The sequence below is a fragment of the Homo sapiens genome, chromosome 18 (assembly GCF_000001405.40).
Source record: "Homo sapiens chromosome 18, GRCh38.p14 Primary Assembly".
NCBI classification, from domain to species: domain Eukaryota; kingdom Metazoa; phylum Chordata; class Mammalia; order Primates; family Hominidae; genus Homo; species Homo sapiens.
In genome coordinates, this window is record NC_000018.10 from 42,740,039 (window position 1) to 42,757,673 (window position 17,635).

General features: G+C 36.3%; 1 protein-coding gene across 2 annotated transcripts in view, besides 2 other annotated features; it reads right to left on the bottom strand.

Moving 5' to 3' along the window:
- Window positions 1,666-2,331: an enhancer, noted in NCBI's record as "OCT4-NANOG-H3K27ac hESC enhancer chr18:40321669-40322334 (GRCh37/hg19 assembly coordinates)". NCBI's record gives its function as "activates a minimal SCP1, AML or CMV promoter by ChIP-STARR-seq in primed H9 embryonic stem cells {active_cell/tissue: H9 hESC(primed)}" and the evidence as "EXISTENCE:reporter gene assay evidence [ECO:0000049][PMID:30033119]".
- RIT2 (Ras like without CAAX 2) overlaps window positions 3,189-17,635 on the bottom strand; it is a 372,459-nt gene continuing 358,012 nt past the window's right edge. For both annotated transcript variants that reach the window (NM_002930.4, NM_001272077.2), the window contains one exon: window positions 3,189-3,682. In NM_002930.4, the coding sequence (NP_002921.1) occupies window positions 3,455-3,682 (228 nt within the window). In that variant the 3' untranslated portion in view covers window positions 3,189-3,454. The remainder of the gene's footprint in view (window positions 3,683-17,635) is intronic.
- Window positions 3,666-4,332: an enhancer, noted in NCBI's record as "OCT4-NANOG-H3K27ac-H3K4me1 hESC enhancer chr18:40323669-40324335 (GRCh37/hg19 assembly coordinates)". NCBI's record gives its function as "activates a minimal SCP1, AML or CMV promoter by ChIP-STARR-seq in naive and primed H9 embryonic stem cells {active_cell/tissue: H9 hESC(naive and primed)}" and the evidence as "EXISTENCE:reporter gene assay evidence [ECO:0000049][PMID:30033119]".

Consider the following 17,635-nt stretch of genomic DNA (forward strand, 5'->3'; position numbering starts at 1 on the left):
CTTTAGTCAAGCCCAAATTTTATCCTCATCTGTTACCTATCTCGGCATAATTCTCATAAAAACACACGTGCTCTCCCTGCTGATCATATCTGATTAATCTCCCAAACCTCAATCCCTTACAAAACAACAACTCCTTTCCTTCCTAGGCATGATTAGTGTGGTCAGAATTCTTACACAAGAGCCAGGACCACACCCTGTAGCCTTTCTGTCCAAACAACTTGACCTTACTGTTTTAGCCTAGCCCTCATGTCTGCGTGCAGCGGCTGCCGCTGCTTTAATACTTTTAGAGTCCCTAAAAATCACAAACTATGCTCAACTCACTCTCTACATTTCTCACAACTTCCAAAATCTATTTTCTTCCTCATACTTGACGCATATACTTTCTGCTCCCCAGCTCCTTCAGCTGTACTCACTCTTTGTTAAGTCCCACAATTACCATTGTTCTTGGCCCGGACTTCAATCCAGCCTCCCATATTATTTCTGATACCACACCTGACCCCCATAACTGTATCTCTCTGATCCACCTGACATTCACCCAATTTCCCCATATTTCCTTCTTTCCTGTTTCTCACCCTGATCACGCTTGATTTGTTGATGGCAGTTCCACCAGGCCTAATCGCCACACACCAGCAAAGGCAGGCTATGCTATAGTAAAAGCCACTAGCCCACCTCTTAGAACCTCTCATTTTCTTTCCATCGTGGAAATCTGTCCTCAAGGAAATAACTTCTCAGTGTTCCATCTGCTATTGTACTACTCCTCAGGGATTATTCAGGCCCCCTGCCTTCCCTACACATCAAGCTCGAGAATTTGCCCCCCACCCAGGACTGGCAAATTAGCTTTACTCAACATGCCTCGAGTCAGATAACTAAAATACCTCTTAGTCTAGGTAGACACTTTCACTGGATAGGTACAGGCCTTTCCTACAGGGTCTGAGAAGACCACCGCAGTCATTTCTTCCCTTCTGTCAGACACAATTCCTCAGTTTAGCCTTCCCACCTCTATACAGTCTGATAACAGACCAGCCTTTATTAGTCAAATCAGCCATGCAGTTTTTCAGGCTTTTGGTATTCAGTGCAACCTTTATATCCCTTACAGTCCTCCATCTTCAGGAAAAGTAGAACGGACTAAAGGTCTTTAAAAAACACACCTCACCAAGCTCAGCCACCAACTCAAAAAGGACTGGACAATACTTTTACCACTTTCCCTTCTCAGAAGTCAGACCTGTCCTCAGAATGCTACAGGGTACAGCCCATTTGAGCTCCTGTATAGACGCTCCTTTTTATTAGGCCCCAGTCTCATGCCAGACACCAGACCAACTTGGACTGTGCCCCAAAAAACTTGTCATCCCTACTATCTTCTGTCTAGTCATACTCCTATTCACCATTCTCAACTACTCATACATGCTCTGCTCTTATTTACACTGCCAGTTTACACTGTTTCTCCAAGCCATCACAGCTGATACCTCCTGCTGCTATCCCCAAACCGCCACTTTTAACTCTTAAAGTAAATAAATAATCCTTGCTGGCAAGGCTATGCTGAACCTCCTTAGGCACTCTCTAATTAGATGTCCTAGGTCCTCCCAATTCTTAGTCCTTTAATAGCTGTTTTTCTCCTCTTATTCTGTTTAGTTTTTCAAATCATACAAAACTGCATCCAGGCCATCACCAATAATTCTAAATGACAAATGTTTCTTCTAACAACCCCACAATATCACCCCTTACCACAAAATCTTCCTTCAGCTTAATCGCTCCCTCTTTAGGTTCCCACGCCGCCCCTAATCCTGCTCAAAGCAGCCCTGAGAAACATCGCCCATTATCTCTCCATACCACCCCCAAAAATTTTCTCTGTCCCAACACTTTACCACGATTTCATTTTATTTTTCTTATTAATATAAGAAGACAGGAATGTCAGGCCTCTGAACCCAAGCTAAGCCATCATATCCCCTGTGACCTGTACGTACACATCCAGATGGCCAGTTCCTGCCTTAACTGATGACATTCCACCACAAAAGAAGTGAAAATGGCCTGTTCCTGCCTTAACTGATGACATTGTCTTGTGAAATTCCTTCTCCTGGCTCATCCTGGCTCAAAAAGCTCCCCCATTGAGCACCTTGTGACGCCCACTCCTGCCCGCCAGAGAACAACCCCCCTTTTTCCTTTACCTACCCAAATCCTATAAAACGGCCCCACCCCTATCTCCCTTCGCTGACTCTTTTCGGACTCAGCCTGCCTGCACCCAGGTGAAATAAACAGCTTTATTGCTCACACAAAGCCTGTTTGGTGGTCTCTTCACATGGACGCGCATGAAAACTATGCCCCTCATCCCTCTTCTTCCCTAATTAATGATTAAAAACTGTCCTTAACCCATGAAGATGGGCTTGATGGATTCCATCTCATGCTTAGCTTTATGGTTTTCTTCTTCATGCTTGCCTATTAAACATTCAGAACTGTGCTCTCTGGTAGTGTATTTTCTGAGCTTGAATTTAATAAACCAATTCACACCAATGGGAAAAAATTAGTGAATGGGCAATTTCATTTTACATGATGAGCCATTGTAAAACCAACAAGAGAAAAGTCTCTGGTAGCATTTCATGTAAGGGAAGAGAGGAGATTTTGGCAATATAGGGAGCTCATAGTGTCTCTGGAGCCATCAAGCCTCATACCCTACAAATGGTCCTGATGCAGGTGAAGCAGCCCTAAGAAGGACTCCTCAATGAGGGGAGCAAAGCATCCTTTAATGAGCATATGAACCACCAAATTCATAGTAGCTTCTCTCTTCCCACTACAGAGACAATATCCTTTTGCCACAGCTCAGTGCCTTCACTGTGATAATTTTGCTACAGCTTAACTGGGGCAGAGCACTGTAAATACACAGATATTTTATTTCAGCTCTCCAATGACCCCAAACCAGTTCCTATTATTAATAATTCCTGTAAGGTTTATCTCTGGAGCATTCAAGAAGAAGCACCATGACTTTCTACAATTAAGAAAAGACCAGGCTGCAGATTTCTGCTCTGAAATATTTCCTGAGCTTCTTCATTATTTACTGAGATTCCTGAAATGCAAACAACCAGTGTTATCAGGCAAAGGCAGATCCCCTGAGCCTTTTATCATTCTGGCTGCAATTTTGCATATTTCCTTTATAACCAGACAGCATACCAAATGAAGCTAGACTCTTTAAAGGGAAATGAGGCAATTGGAATGTCAATTTTATTTAGTACTATGTTGTAAAAACTAAACAGCATATCCAGCTGATTGACAAAATCCATCCAACTGTTAAAGGCAAAACAAAACTATCTCAAGAGGTACAGATATGCAGAGCTTGCTTTTACCTACAGGCAGATATTTAAAGAGAGAGAGACACATAGAGAGATAATATTGAAGCAGAATGCTACATATGGAATTGTCCAACTAATAAAATTCAGAGAGCGTGAGGAACTCAAAAGCAAAGATATCATGTCATATTTTCTCTCTTCTTCTTCAAAGAACCTTTGAGCTTCTTCCACAGGCTGTCTTTTCTCTTCAGTTTCTTTTCCATCAAGGATGGCATGGACTCCTTCTTGCGAATTTCCCTCACTAAGCCATGAAAAGCATCATCAATACAGAATCTGAGGGCTGCAGAGGTCTCAAAAAAACCACAATTATATTCTTGGGCAAGACTCAAGCCTTCTTCTGTAGAAACCTAAGGAAAAAACAAATAATATTAAAAAGACAGAAAGAGAAAGACTCTTCAATTAAAAATACGTTCTCTACTAGAGCTGTGTGTCAGGCCTCTGAGCCCAAGCCAAGCCATCGTATCCCCTGTGACTTGCAGGTATACGCCCAGATGGCCTGAAGTAACTGAAGAATCACAAAAGAAGTGAAAATGCCCTGCCCCGCCTTAACTGATTACATTCCACCACAAAAGAAGTGTAAATGGCAGGTCCTTGCCTTAACTGATGAAATTCCACCAGAAAAGAAGTGAAAATGGTCGGTCCTTGCCTTAAGTGATGACATTACCCTGTGAAAGTACTTTTCCTGGCTCATCCTGGCTCAAAAAGCTCCCCCACTGAGCACCTTGTGACCCCCACTCCTGTCTGCCAGAGAACAAACCCCCTTTGACTGTAATTTTCCTTTACCTACCCAAATCTTATAAAATGGCCCCACCCCATCTCCCTTTGCTGACTCTCTTTTTGGACTCAGCCCGCCTGCACCCAGGTGATTAAAAGCTTTATTGCTCACACAAAGCCTGTTTGGTGGTCTCTTCACATGGACGCACATGAAACTGTGGACCTCAGTCACATTTAAAAATATATAGCAATGTGAGAATTTGTTTTAAGAGAGAATCCTAGAATTTTAGAATTTGAAGGACAAATGAGAAATTAGAATCCTTGAAAGTATGACTGATTAAAAAATTGAACTAGAAATCAGCTCTCCAGAATTCAAAAAAGCAATATAGCAAAGTGGTCAAAGAATAGCTTTATATTAAATCTCCTTTGTTTCAAATACCAGTTCAACTGCATTTTAGCTTTGCAAACTTGGTTAATTTTTTTGACTTTTTTTTTTCCCCAATTTCCTCAACATAAGATATTAATACCTACCTCAAAACCTCTTTGTTAGGGTTAAGTGAGATCATCTAGAAGAGGCACATGCTGGGCACATGTTTAAAGCTCTATAAATGTTAGTTGTTATTATAGTCCAGAGCTTTCACTGAAGAATAAGTTGAAGAGATGGAGTTGTCATAAAATTAAAAAATAATAATCTATCAAAAGAAAATGAAAAGCAAACACCACCATTATGGGTAAATAAGTCTCCCTCTAGCCAAGTATTCCAGAGCAGGTTTGACACTCCATAAGTCTTTGGTGGCAGTTACCCATGCTGTGGTTCATGCTGTTGTAATGGATCTCTAGAAATCATAAACTGACTGAGGCCAGGGACCGTGTCTGTCTCACTTATCATTCCTTTAGTTTCTACTACAGCTCCTGGTGCCTACATCACCATTAGAAGTATTAGAAGAGTTTAAAGAATGATCAACAAAATTACCCAGGGTTGAATAAGTATTAACTAAAATATAAAGATAAATTATATACATAAATTAGCACAGTGGATTCTATGTTCCTATAGCTGGTACTAACATTCCTACTCAAAATTTAGTGATCCCATAAAGCCCTACCAGATTATCAGTCCCCAGAATCCTGAGTTACCAGGACTCTGAATAATAAATAGACCTCCCAGCTCACTCATGTTGGATACCTGGCATAACTAAGAAAAAAAACCTTCATTATTTTAAGCTGTTGACATTTTGCAATTGTTTGTAATCAGGGCAGAAACCAACTTTTTAAACTGTTACAACACATCATATGGTTAATAAGTGGCTGAGCTGGGGTGTAAAAAATCTATCAAGTCTATCTGATCCCAAAGACAGCAAAGACAGGTTCTTCACTCTAGTCTGACTAGATCTCACTGATCCCACTAGTAGCTGTTAAACAGAGATGAGTAACTTGTCACATTTTAACCCTATGAGATAAAACATGTCTGGATTATCTCTCTTATTTTATTTTTTTCATTCCTACTGGTAAACATGCCAATTTTTTTTAGCTCATTTCTACCTTAAAATAACTTAAGAAATGCAGCGAAAACAATCAACTAAAGCTAATAACATTCTGACTTGCCAGCAATTGAGCAAAGTTATGTTTATTAAGTAACTTCCCTGATTTTCAAGTTATCACAAGTGGTAATCTTACCAAATGGTATGACACTGTATAACGTGGGTTACCATTTATTTTTCAGTCACCTGTAAGAATTTTCCCCACCCAGAAGCTAATGACTCATATTTTACATTTTGTATAGCAATACAACAGTTCTGGAACTATTTTCTATATTTATTGGCTTTCATTAGGTTACACTTATATTAATACAGCCTAAAGGCCCTTGTGGCTTGCAAATATTTTTTGTTTTGTTTTGCTTTGTTTTGTTGCTAGACTGCTTTTTAGCAGCTAAGGAGTAGATTTTTGGCAGCTCTGCTCCAGGCTGTCAGGTGGGTTCTGGTGTATTCCTCTTATCCTCTTATTTTGGGACTCAGGCTAAGAGAGCCCTTCTTATCTGGGAAATGATATTCCCATAATATAGAGCAGATGCACAGGAGGCAGGAATTATTTTATCTATATCCCAAATGACACATGGAGAAACCTAAAGTCAATGAGGCAGGACATATGCTCAACTCACATTGAAGCATGGCAAGAGTGGAGAGAAAACACAGAATTTTAAAAGAATAATTCAACTGACCACAGTCAATATAAATGCATTACAGTCTCCAACTTTAAAAGACAAAGACTGTTCAACCAGATTTTACAAAAATCACCTGCAGTTGCAGTACCTTACATGTAAAGATATAGAAAGTGAAATTTGAATGGAAATTTACACATGAAGAAAGCTGCTATAGTTTAAATATCAAAGTAGACAGTAAGTAAAAATAGAGCATTATTTGAGTAAAAGGGGAATATTTTATAATAATAAAGGAAGACATTATACTAATTAATTCTTATGTACTAAAAATACAGTCTCAGTTTAAATTTTAAAAGTTGACAAAATAAAATCCAAAAGTTTAGTGAGATATTTTAATGTGTCTCTCTCAGCAATTGAAAGAACTGGTAACAATCCTATTGACACTAGTACACAAGAGACAGAAAGAGGAAATCCTGTCTAAATCATTATTTGAAGCCAGTATAACCCTAATACCAAATCCAGGAAAGGACATAACAAAAACAGAATTTAAAACAAAAATAACATGATAATCTCAATAGATGCAGAAAAAGCATTTGACAAAATCCAGCATCCCTTTGTGATTAAAACCCTCAGAAAAATTGGCATAGAAGGGACCTGCCTTACTGTAATAAAAGCTATCTATTACAAACTCACAGCCGATGTAGCACTGAATGGGGAAAAGTTGAAAGCATTTCCCCTGAGAACATGAACATGACAAGGATGCCACTCTTATCCCTCCTATTCAACATAGTACTGGAAGTCCTAGGCAGAACAATCAGACAAGAGAAAGAAATAAAGGACATTCAAACTGGTGAAGAGGAAGTAAAACTGATGCAGTTTCCTGATGATATAATTGTATACCTAGAAAACCCTAAAGACTCTTCCAAAAAGCTCCTAGATAAATGAATTCAGCAAATTACAGGATACAAAGTTTATATACACGAATCAGTAGCTCTGCTATATACCAACAGCGACCAAGCTGATAATCAAATCAATAAGATAACCTGTTTTACAATAGCTGCTAAATAAATAAATAAAATACTTAAGAATATACCAAACCAAGGAAGTGAAAGACCTCTACAAGGAAAACTACAGAACACTGTTCAAAGAAATCATAGACGACACAAACAAATGAAAACACATCCCATGCTCGTGGATGGGTAGAATCAATACTGTGAAAATGACCATGCTGCCAAAAGCAATCTATAAATGCAATTTCCATCAAAACACCACCGTCATTCTTCACAGAACTAGAAAAAACAATCCTAAAATTCATATGGAAGCAAAAAGGAGAGCACATAGCCAAAGAAAGACTAAGCATAAAGAAGAAATCTGGAGGCATCACGTTACATTGAAACTATACTATAAGGCTGTAGTCACCAAAACAGCATGGTACTGGTATATAGGCATATAGATAAATGGAATAGAATAGAGAACCCAGAAATAAAGCCAAATACTAACAGCCAAGAGATCTTTGACAAAGCAAACAAAAACATAAAGTGGGGAAAGGACACCCTACTCAACAAATGGTGTTAGGATAATTGGCAAGCCACACGTAGAAGAATGAAACTGCATCCTCATGTCTCACCTTATACAAAAATCAAACTCAAGATGGATAAAGGACTTAAATCTAAGATCTGAAAACATAAAAATTATAGAAGATAACACTGGAAAAATCCTTCTAGACATTGGCTTAGGCAAAGACTTCATAAGCAAGAACCCAAAAGCAAATGCAACAAAAACAAAGATAAATACTTGGGACTTAATTAAACTAAAAAGTTTCTGCACATCAAAATAAACAATCAGCAGAGTAAATGAACAACCCACAGAGTGGGAGAAAATCTTTGCAATCCCATAGAGTGGAAGAAAACCCGCAAAGTGGAAGAAAATCTCCAGAGTCTATACATTTGACAAAAGACTAATATCCACAATCTACAAGAGACTGAAAGAAATCCGCAAGAAAAAAACAAACAATCCCATCAAAAAGTGGGCTAAGGACCTGAATAGACAATTCTCAAAAGAAGATACACAAATGACCAACAAAAATATGAAAAAATACTCAACATCAGTAATGATCAGGGAAATACAAATCAAAACCACATGCAATACCACCTTACTCCTGCACGAATGGTCATTATCAAAAAAAAACAAACAATAATAGATGTTAGCATGGATGTGGTTAAAAGGGTACACTTTTACACTGCTGGTGGGAACTTAAACTAGTACAAACACTATGTAAAACAGTGTGGAGATTCTGTAAAGAACTAAAAGTAGAACTACCAGTTGATCCAGCAATGTCACTACTGGGTATCTATCCAGAGGAAAATAAGTCATTATACGAAAAAGATACTTGCACATGCATATTTATAGCAGCACAATTCACAAATGCAAAAACATGAAACCAGCGCAGAAAACAAGTGGGAGCTAAGATATGATAATGTAAAGGCATAAGAAAGATACAATGGATTTTGGGGACTCAGGGGAAAGGGAGGTAGGTGGATAAAAGGCTACACATTGGGTCCAGTGTACACTACTCGGGTGATGAATGCACCAAAATCTCAGAAATCAACACAAGAAAACTTTTTCATGCAACCAAACACCTACTGTTCCCTCAAAACCTATTGAAATAAAAATAAGTAAAGAAATAAAGAAAAAATTAATAGGCAAATATTCAGTAAGGATATAGGGGACTTGAACAAAACAAACTCAATTGATCCAATTGACATATACAACATGTCATAGCTAACAAATGAAAAAGTCAGATTCTCTTCAAGTTAACTTGGAACATTTATAAAAATTGACTTTATCCTAAAGTGAATCTCAAAACATTGCAAAGAATAAAAATTACAACATAGTCCAAAATAAATGAAATTGATCTAGAAATTTAAAAAACTCTACTAAATTCTCAAATAGTTGAGAAAAAGTATGTATTTAAATAGTCAATAGGTCAAAGAAGAAATTATAAAAACATTTTCAAAATATTTGAAACGAAATGCTAATAAAAATGCACTGTATCAAAACTTATAGGACTATCTCTAGCTTTATTCATAATGATGCTTATAGCATTACAAGCATGTTTTTAAAAAGCATAAACACTCAAATTTAATGATCAAAATATTAACCACAAAAAGTAACCAGAAAGCTCAGCAAATTAATTTAAAGAAAGCAAAAACAAGGAAATGATAAACAGATAAGTAAGTAAAATAGAAAACAATTATGCAATGGAGAAGACGAAATCAAACATGAATTCTTTTTATAAAGATGTCAAAATTTATAAAGCCCAGGAAAGACAGATTAAGGGTGATGAAGAAAAATAAGTCATAAATAAACAATATTAAGAATGAAATAGTGTATATCAGTTCAGATACTACAAACATAAAAAAGATAACATGTGAACATGATGTTTGTCCCAATATATCAGAAATATTAGGTGAAGGAATAATTTCTACCAAAATATAATTTTCAAAAGCTTACACACAAAAATAGAAATTCTATATTGTCCTAAACATTAGACAAAAAATTAAATTCGTGATTAAAACCTTTCCCATAATTAAGTCTCTATGACCAGAAGCCTTCTTTGATGAATATGTGTAGATGTATGCAACAAAGACATGCAAATTGTTTACAGTAACATTATTCACAATAGCAAAAACGAGCAAACAAAAACACTGAAAGCAACACAAACCTTATTACCAGGAGACTTGATAACTAATTTGCTATATATTAATACAATGTGATGCTGTTCAATGTAAATAAATGACATACTATTATATACAACTTAGATAAATCTTACAAACATAACAATGCTGAGTGAAAGAAATCAGACCTAAGGAACATTGTTAGTAAATTTTTAATTTTAGTATAGTTTTCTATTTACAGAATATGGCAACATATAATTCCCATTTACCCCACATCCAGTTCTCTCTATTTTTACATTAACACATTACACAATTACATTTTTCGAGAGTTTAAAAACAGAAAAACTATTGTTTAGTGTTAGGAGTCAGTATAGTGTTTCTTTGGAAGGAGATGCAAGAAAGTTTTCTGGGCACCTTTAATAATCTTCCATTATTAACCAATATGGTGATTTTTGGTGAGTTCATGTTGTTGTAATTCATGAAGCTCTATACTTATAATTTGTCTGCTTTATATGAAACTGCAATTAAACACTCAATTAAATAAATGCATTGTGAAACATGCAGCACTCCCTTTGAATTTGGGGCATAATTTTGTCCTCCAGTATAGTAATATTTCCGTAGCTAAATATTGCAACATTCACAGCAAATAGGATATGTAAGATCTCTAAATCAACTCAGATCACATCAAATCATGCTTTGTCACAAAAAGTGAGTTGAGTCTGGTTAGGTTATGCTAACAAATACATTAAGAAAAACTTTTACTTATCATATTAGTTTGGATATTTATCTAAATCTAACCAATCAGATGACAAATTGTAGACTTGTATTAGTTTTTGGTTCGAAGGTTCGATATCATAAAGATAATAAATCATTTCAAATTAGCGTATAATTTCAATGAAAATATATTCAAACCCTGAAAACTTTTGAATCATAGGATGTCATACAGGGATACTAAAATTCATAGAGAAGAATAAAGGCACAAATAGAGAAGAAATATTTGAATTCTAATAAGAAGGAGGTAGGAAGAAGAATAGTAACAATAATGTTGGTCTCACTTGATTAAGGCCATCTGTAAACCTATAATTGTTCAGGCAGTGGGACATTAGTTAAGGCTTAGACAAATAATCTTACTACAATGCAATAGAGAACCTGGAAAAAGATCAACATATCTATGGAAGCTTTTTATATTATTGGGATATCATTTCCAAATCAGTGGAGAAATGAAGGTGCTGTCAGTGGTGCCCTGACATTGAGTTATCATTTTGGATTATTTTTGACCAAGATGTATAGGAGTTATTTCCACCAACATAGAAAGGTAATTTTTCTTTAAGAAGAGTAGAAGTAGAGAAGGATTGAAGTTAAGTCTTTAGCTAAATCCATAAATTCTTTAAGTGTTTGAAAAAATATGTTTAGTTGTATATCTATAGTACATATATAGATATATATATGCATATTTTATACAAACACATACATATTTATAAAATATTTCCTAATGGTTAAAATATAAGCATCACAAATCAATCATTAGGGACATCAAAATTCAGTTAAAAGTCCAATGTGATAATCAAGCTCGACCAGAAATAAAATTAGTAAACAAATCCCATGCAAATATTCTTGTTCGAATGATATACAGCAAAACAGCACCTTTAATAAATGATATAAGTGAATATTTTATTTTTTGTAGCAGGCCGAAGTATACTTAAATTGTGCCTACTCATTACTTTGATAAGTAATGTAGGAATCATCGACCATCTAATTCAAAGCATAAAATGTAGTTTCACATGATCTTAGATTTATTATCAAAATATTAATTCTGTGCTATCTAATGGAATAATAACATTAATTTTCACATTTGCTATAATATCTAAATGGAAATTATACTTAGTAAAATATTTAATCTTTTCTATATTTCCTTAAAAATTATCATCAGATCAGTGACCTAAAGTTTTTATGTTTTAAGAAAAATACCAAAAGTGAAAGCATACTTTAACAATAAAGTTTTATGTTTCAAGAAAATACATTTTCATGTTTTCAGGAAATTTCACCTCATACGAATATTGACAAACCATACATTTGTCATACCTACCTTTGAGCTTGAAATTTACATGCCATAAGTTTAATGCAAGAATTTGAGTCCAAACATGTCAAAAAAAAAGCCCCAAAATATTAATTTTTATAGATTTCTGGGTTTTATGCTTACTATTATGGTCCATTTGAAGGTCATATTGCAACAGCATCAGAGGGAGTAATTTTTAGGACCACAGCAGTCCACTAGTGGTGGTCTGACTGGTTTGGAACTAGAATGTATTACAAGAAGTAACAGCTTCCATATTAGAATTGAGAACTAAGGTAATTAACATATTCTTTTAGCATAAGATATCTTGTCTATCTGAATTTTAAGTAAAATTAAATTTTAAGTAAAATTAAATATTGAATATTCATCAATATTCATCTACTTTATATAGTAACTCCTAAGAAAGAAGCACAATGGTAGAAAGGAATTAAATTTTCTTATTTTTCAAATGAGGACTTTCAGGCTCAGAAAGGTTAAGCAGTGGTTAAGAAATGGCTCAAGGTCACACATCTAATTAAGTAAAATATCCATCAAGTTCTACTATCTTCCATTAAGCACCGCTTCCCTTCTTTCTTGCTGTCTCTCATGGGGAAACCTTTCCAGTCTCCTGTGCTAGGATTCTGTACATATTTAGTTGATTGTTCTGATGTGAGGTTTTACAACTTAAAATAATTCTTAAATAGTAAACAAATGGCACACAATATTTTATATTGCATTTACATGAAAAGTTAAATTTTAAATAAATGCAGAAACACACCAGGGGTGGGGGTGGGGAAGAAATGTTGCAGGGAGATTATTTTAGGGGTAAGAAGCAATTGATGCAGATATCATTATACCACAGTGCCCCTCAACTGCAAAGAAGGAACGTTTTTGATTTAATGTGACACCTGGAGGCCTTAGAAAGCAATGGCAGAAAAGAAGGAATAAAGAAAAATGTTTCATACAAGTAATAGAAAATTTCAATAACCCAGGGGTGCCATCTTTTTAATATATATGACCTTTTTCACCGAAGAAGATCACCGTGTAATATGCCAGGTACTCCCTGAAATGCTATTTCCCATCTGCCAGAGGAGGCATTAGAACACAGCCACAGCTGCATGGGGGGTTGATGAGACCACTGGGGCAAAAAGGCAGGCAGAGCCTGTTCTAGTCCAGCCCAGCTGCTAGTGGGAAGCGGCAAGCATCCTGGCCAATTAGACTTTCAGTCCCAACAATCTGCTGACTTCAGGAGCTTTCTAGCTCTCTGCATATTTTTATCTTTTACCCGAGCTTGGTAAAAATAAAATACAATAAATTAAATTAAATTAAATTATTGTAAAGGTAGCCAGGGTAATGGTGGTTGCCTAATAAGCTATATAATTCCTAGCAACACAAAAGGAAACTCTGACACTGCTTTGCTATAATTGCTAACCTTGAGTGAGGGAGTGAGGGAGACTGGCAGAAAGATGGGTCTGGCTCTTCCAACAGAAGCTTTGCAAGCAAAAATCTTAGTGGTTATGCCTACTGGGTGCTGTTAAAATGCTTAGTGCATACAGCAAACTCTTTGGATTTATTTTATATTTTTAATATCTTCTTGTAAGTGTTTCACTGCATTATTTCCCATGGAGCTATTAATTTTCATTATGCAGTCTACATCATCAAAGTAGCAGGAATCAAAATTTCCTGAGAAATTTGTGAACAACACATCTTATTTGCTAACTTGAAGGAAAAGTGGCCCGAACTTTTTTCTATTTTCATTTTGTTTAGTTGTATAATTGATTTTGATCAGTTTTAATAATATTAATGACCTTGCCAGTTTTCTTGACCAGTTCTAGTGAAAGTGCTTTTGATTTATTAAATTTGATTTATTCACTTATTTAATACGAGAGTTACTTTAAAAAAAGAAAATCATCTTCCATTTAAAGGTAAGTGCTACATGTCATTTCAAACTCCTTCCGGGAACAGCAAAACAAAGCAAAGCACTGGCAAGATGTCCCACCCTTAGCCGCAGTCACTGACACATGGAAAACCATTCTTGACAGATCAGAGTGTGCTTATAGGGTGTTCCTTCCAAGAGTGCTCTATCTGCTCTGCTATTTTTCCCCAATTATCTTTTTTAGATGAGTGAACAAGTCTGCAAACTAAGCAAAAAACTCAACTGGTGAGGAGATGTCAGTAACTTCTTAGCACGTCCCTCTTTTAGGAGGGATTATGTTGGGGCCTCCTTCTCTTGTATTGTAAAGGAGAAGGGCAAGAGTCCTCCTTCCCTTCTTTGTGGTAGGCAGAAGGAAAAGAACTCCTGGTCTTGGTATCAAAAACTCAGATTTCCACCTGGGTTCTTAGACTGGTAAGGGGTGTGGAGTGGGGAAAGGCAAGAGTAGGAGTCAACAGAGGCAGTTTGGTTGTGTGCTTGTGTGTAGGTCTCTTTAGAACGTGGAGTACATTTTACACAGTAGAGCCCATCATTCCTCAATACATATTTTTATGCCTTTGCGTATTGCTTTTTTTCCCCTATCTGGAAAGTCTTTCATCTTTCTTCTCTCTCACTTCTTCCAGACCTACTCAAGTCTTTACAGACAGTGCAGTCAGTCTATGGTGACCTTGGTGGCCTCTGCTTTGCTGTGCAGCTTATCATCCTTGAGGGAAGTTCATAGGCCTTAGTTGTTTGATCTCACCAACCAAATGCAAGGCAGCTGGACAGAAATCATATTTTGTCTTATCTTAATCCTCATTGTGCCACACAATAAGCAAGCCACACACTTTGCAGTGGCAGGTGCTCATTAAATATTTAATTTGGATGATGATGAAAATGACACCAAATAAACAGTCACTGGAGACCACAGAGTCCATTATAATGAGTTCATAAAACTGAAATTTCAGAGGCCAGAATATTGCCCTCAACTGTATTTTTGCTATATTGTGGGCTTCGGCAAATGCCTACAATTGTGCTACAGTGGGTAGGTTCTGGAATCACATTACTAGGATCTAAATCCTGGCTACACCACTTTTTAGCCATGAATTCTCAGGGAGTTGCTTAGACTGTGGTTTAATTTCCTCATAAAATTCTCCTTCATAGAATTGGTAATAGGATTCAATGAGCTATCACATGAAAGGCACTTATAGAGTTCCTAGTATACTGTGTACTCCCAATAAATATGTTTTTGGTTTGTCTGTTCACTGTCTGAAAAAAAGACAGAAGAAATTTTAACTTCTTTCAGATCACATTTTAGTCCTGTTTATAATTTTTTCTACTTCTTACCATGACCTACAAATTCTACATGATGTTATCTCTGTCTGTTTCCCCAAGCCCGATTCATACCACTCTCCCTCATCGATTATATCCTATCATATTCGATACATGCTCAGTACAAAATCTTCTTGCCTTCAAGTATTTGCAGTTGTTGTTTCCTCTGCCTGAAATGTGCTCCCCTACAGGTCTCCTCCTGGCTGTTTTCTTCAAGTCCCAGCTGAAATATCACCTCCACTGAGACACCTTGCCTGACTGTCCTCTCAAAAGCATTCTCACACATCCCCACTAATGCCATCCCATTACTCTTATTTTGTTGATAGGAAGGGCACTTAATTACTATCTGAATTCATCTCACTAATTTGCCTATATGTATTTTTCATCACCCATCAGTATAAAGTAAGCTTAGTTATTGCTGAAAATGTGTCTGTTTTGTTCATCTCTCTACCTGATCTCCAGCAAAGTGACTGGCACTTAAGAGGGCTCATTATTTGTGGATGACATCACTGGAACCCAGGCCATGAGAATACAGCTGAGGCTACAATAAACAGAGGAGTTGGTTGTCGATTTAGACAAATAGACAAATTAAAAGGAAATCTCAGATCAAAGACAGTGGCTAGCACAGGGTACAGCACTGTGGTGGCATTTACAAGTAATGCCCAGCCCTGTCTTAGTGGTTCTCAGCTTCCTGAGACAGGGAGCCTTAATCTTAGACCTGAATGGCAAGTAGTAATTATTTAGGTTGGTGAGGGGAGGTGGGATGCTGGGGGAATAGGAAGGAGTCTCGGTAAAGGGACTAAGAAAGGCCTAAGGCAGAAGTGATCATGGTGCTTTTGTGGGATCATCAGTAGTTAATATGGTTTAGACCAGAGCACAAGGGAGAAGAAGTGAATAAGAGCACAATCAGAGGCAATTAGTGAGTTTAGATGTCTAATTTATTCAGATCTGTATGAAATTTGTTAGGAACCCATCAAATAAGTAATTTTTAAAAAGCCTATTTCTTGAGCGCCTACTCTGGAAATGTAATAGGATTTCTCTCTCTTGCTGTTCTGGAGAGATATTGATTGAATGGAGAGAAAAGTAGGACATAATAAATTAAATGGTGTAGCCAGTCGTTCTGAGACACGGGATGGTAATGGCTCTAGGGTAAAGGGTTTTAGACTGCTTTGTACAGGAGACATTTGAAGTCTCAAAGGCCTTGTGCTTTTCATCCCAGAAGCTCTGGTGTGCAGGGGGGAAAGGTTGCCATGGCAGCCAGTAGTTGCTATGAAGGGAAAAAAGAGAAGGTTAATGCTAAATATTTTGCTAACAGCAATATCTGCCTTCTTTTTGAATTTTTCTCCTAAAGATTTTGCTTTTTAAAATACTTTGTTAAAAATATAAATCAATAAAATTGGGCAGTACGTGCAATATATATAAATGCAGGACCTTGAACGTGTAAATATACATACATGTATGTGCATGCCTAAGGATATCTTCACATATTTGCACTAATAAATAAATATGTGTGTTTGATGTATATTAAATCAATGGTCCTTCTGAACCTTCAGGGGATTGGTTATTGTGAATAGCTAAATTTTCCATTTTAACATGGCCTAAAAATGTACTCTTTGAAGACCAAAAAATTTTATTATTTAATCTATTCTGTTAACAAATTTATATTAGGTAAAAATAGAAAAAAAACTTATGTATTATACTTGTAACACATAAAACAATTATAATTAAATAATAAATTATATAACTCTACAATGTCTGGATCTCCTGCAGAATATAAGATCAAGAAGACAAAGGACATTATATTGTCAGCAACACCTCAATGCTTTGCAAGTGAACCATGTTCAATAAACACCTTTCCTATCTCTTCACTGAATGGAGACTGAATAAATGGATAGGAAGTTGACCAAAGAGTAACCAACCAATTACTACAGAAGAAACCCTCCATGAATTAACTAGAGAATTAGAAGCTGAAATCTCATTTGAATTACTTAAGGTTTTAACTTATTTTCATTAACATATCTGTGCAATTCATGCAAAGTGTCAAAATGCTTGATTACATATGTTGTCAGGTTAGAACATGGCCCTGCAGAATCTCTGGACAGAAAAATAAGAAGACCGGGTCATCATGCCTTCTTGAATGGAATCTAGGGACCAGAGTAGCAGATGACTTTGATGAAGCCTATAGGAAAGCTCAAGGTTCCCCAGAGGTATCTTGGGCTCCTTCAAGCTCACAATCAACCTATATATCTTTTTGGATTATATTTGGGTAAGGCTTGCCATGAAAAGAAGGATGAACTAGAACAAAATAAATTTTACAAAAGTTCTAACCCTAGTATCTACAGAAAACAAAACTGAACCAATATTCTACGTTTTCTGGCCTTACACACACGGAGACAGGCATTTTTTGAAAATGTACGTGCCTGTGCTTATTGGTACCACTATACATTTATATTTCAA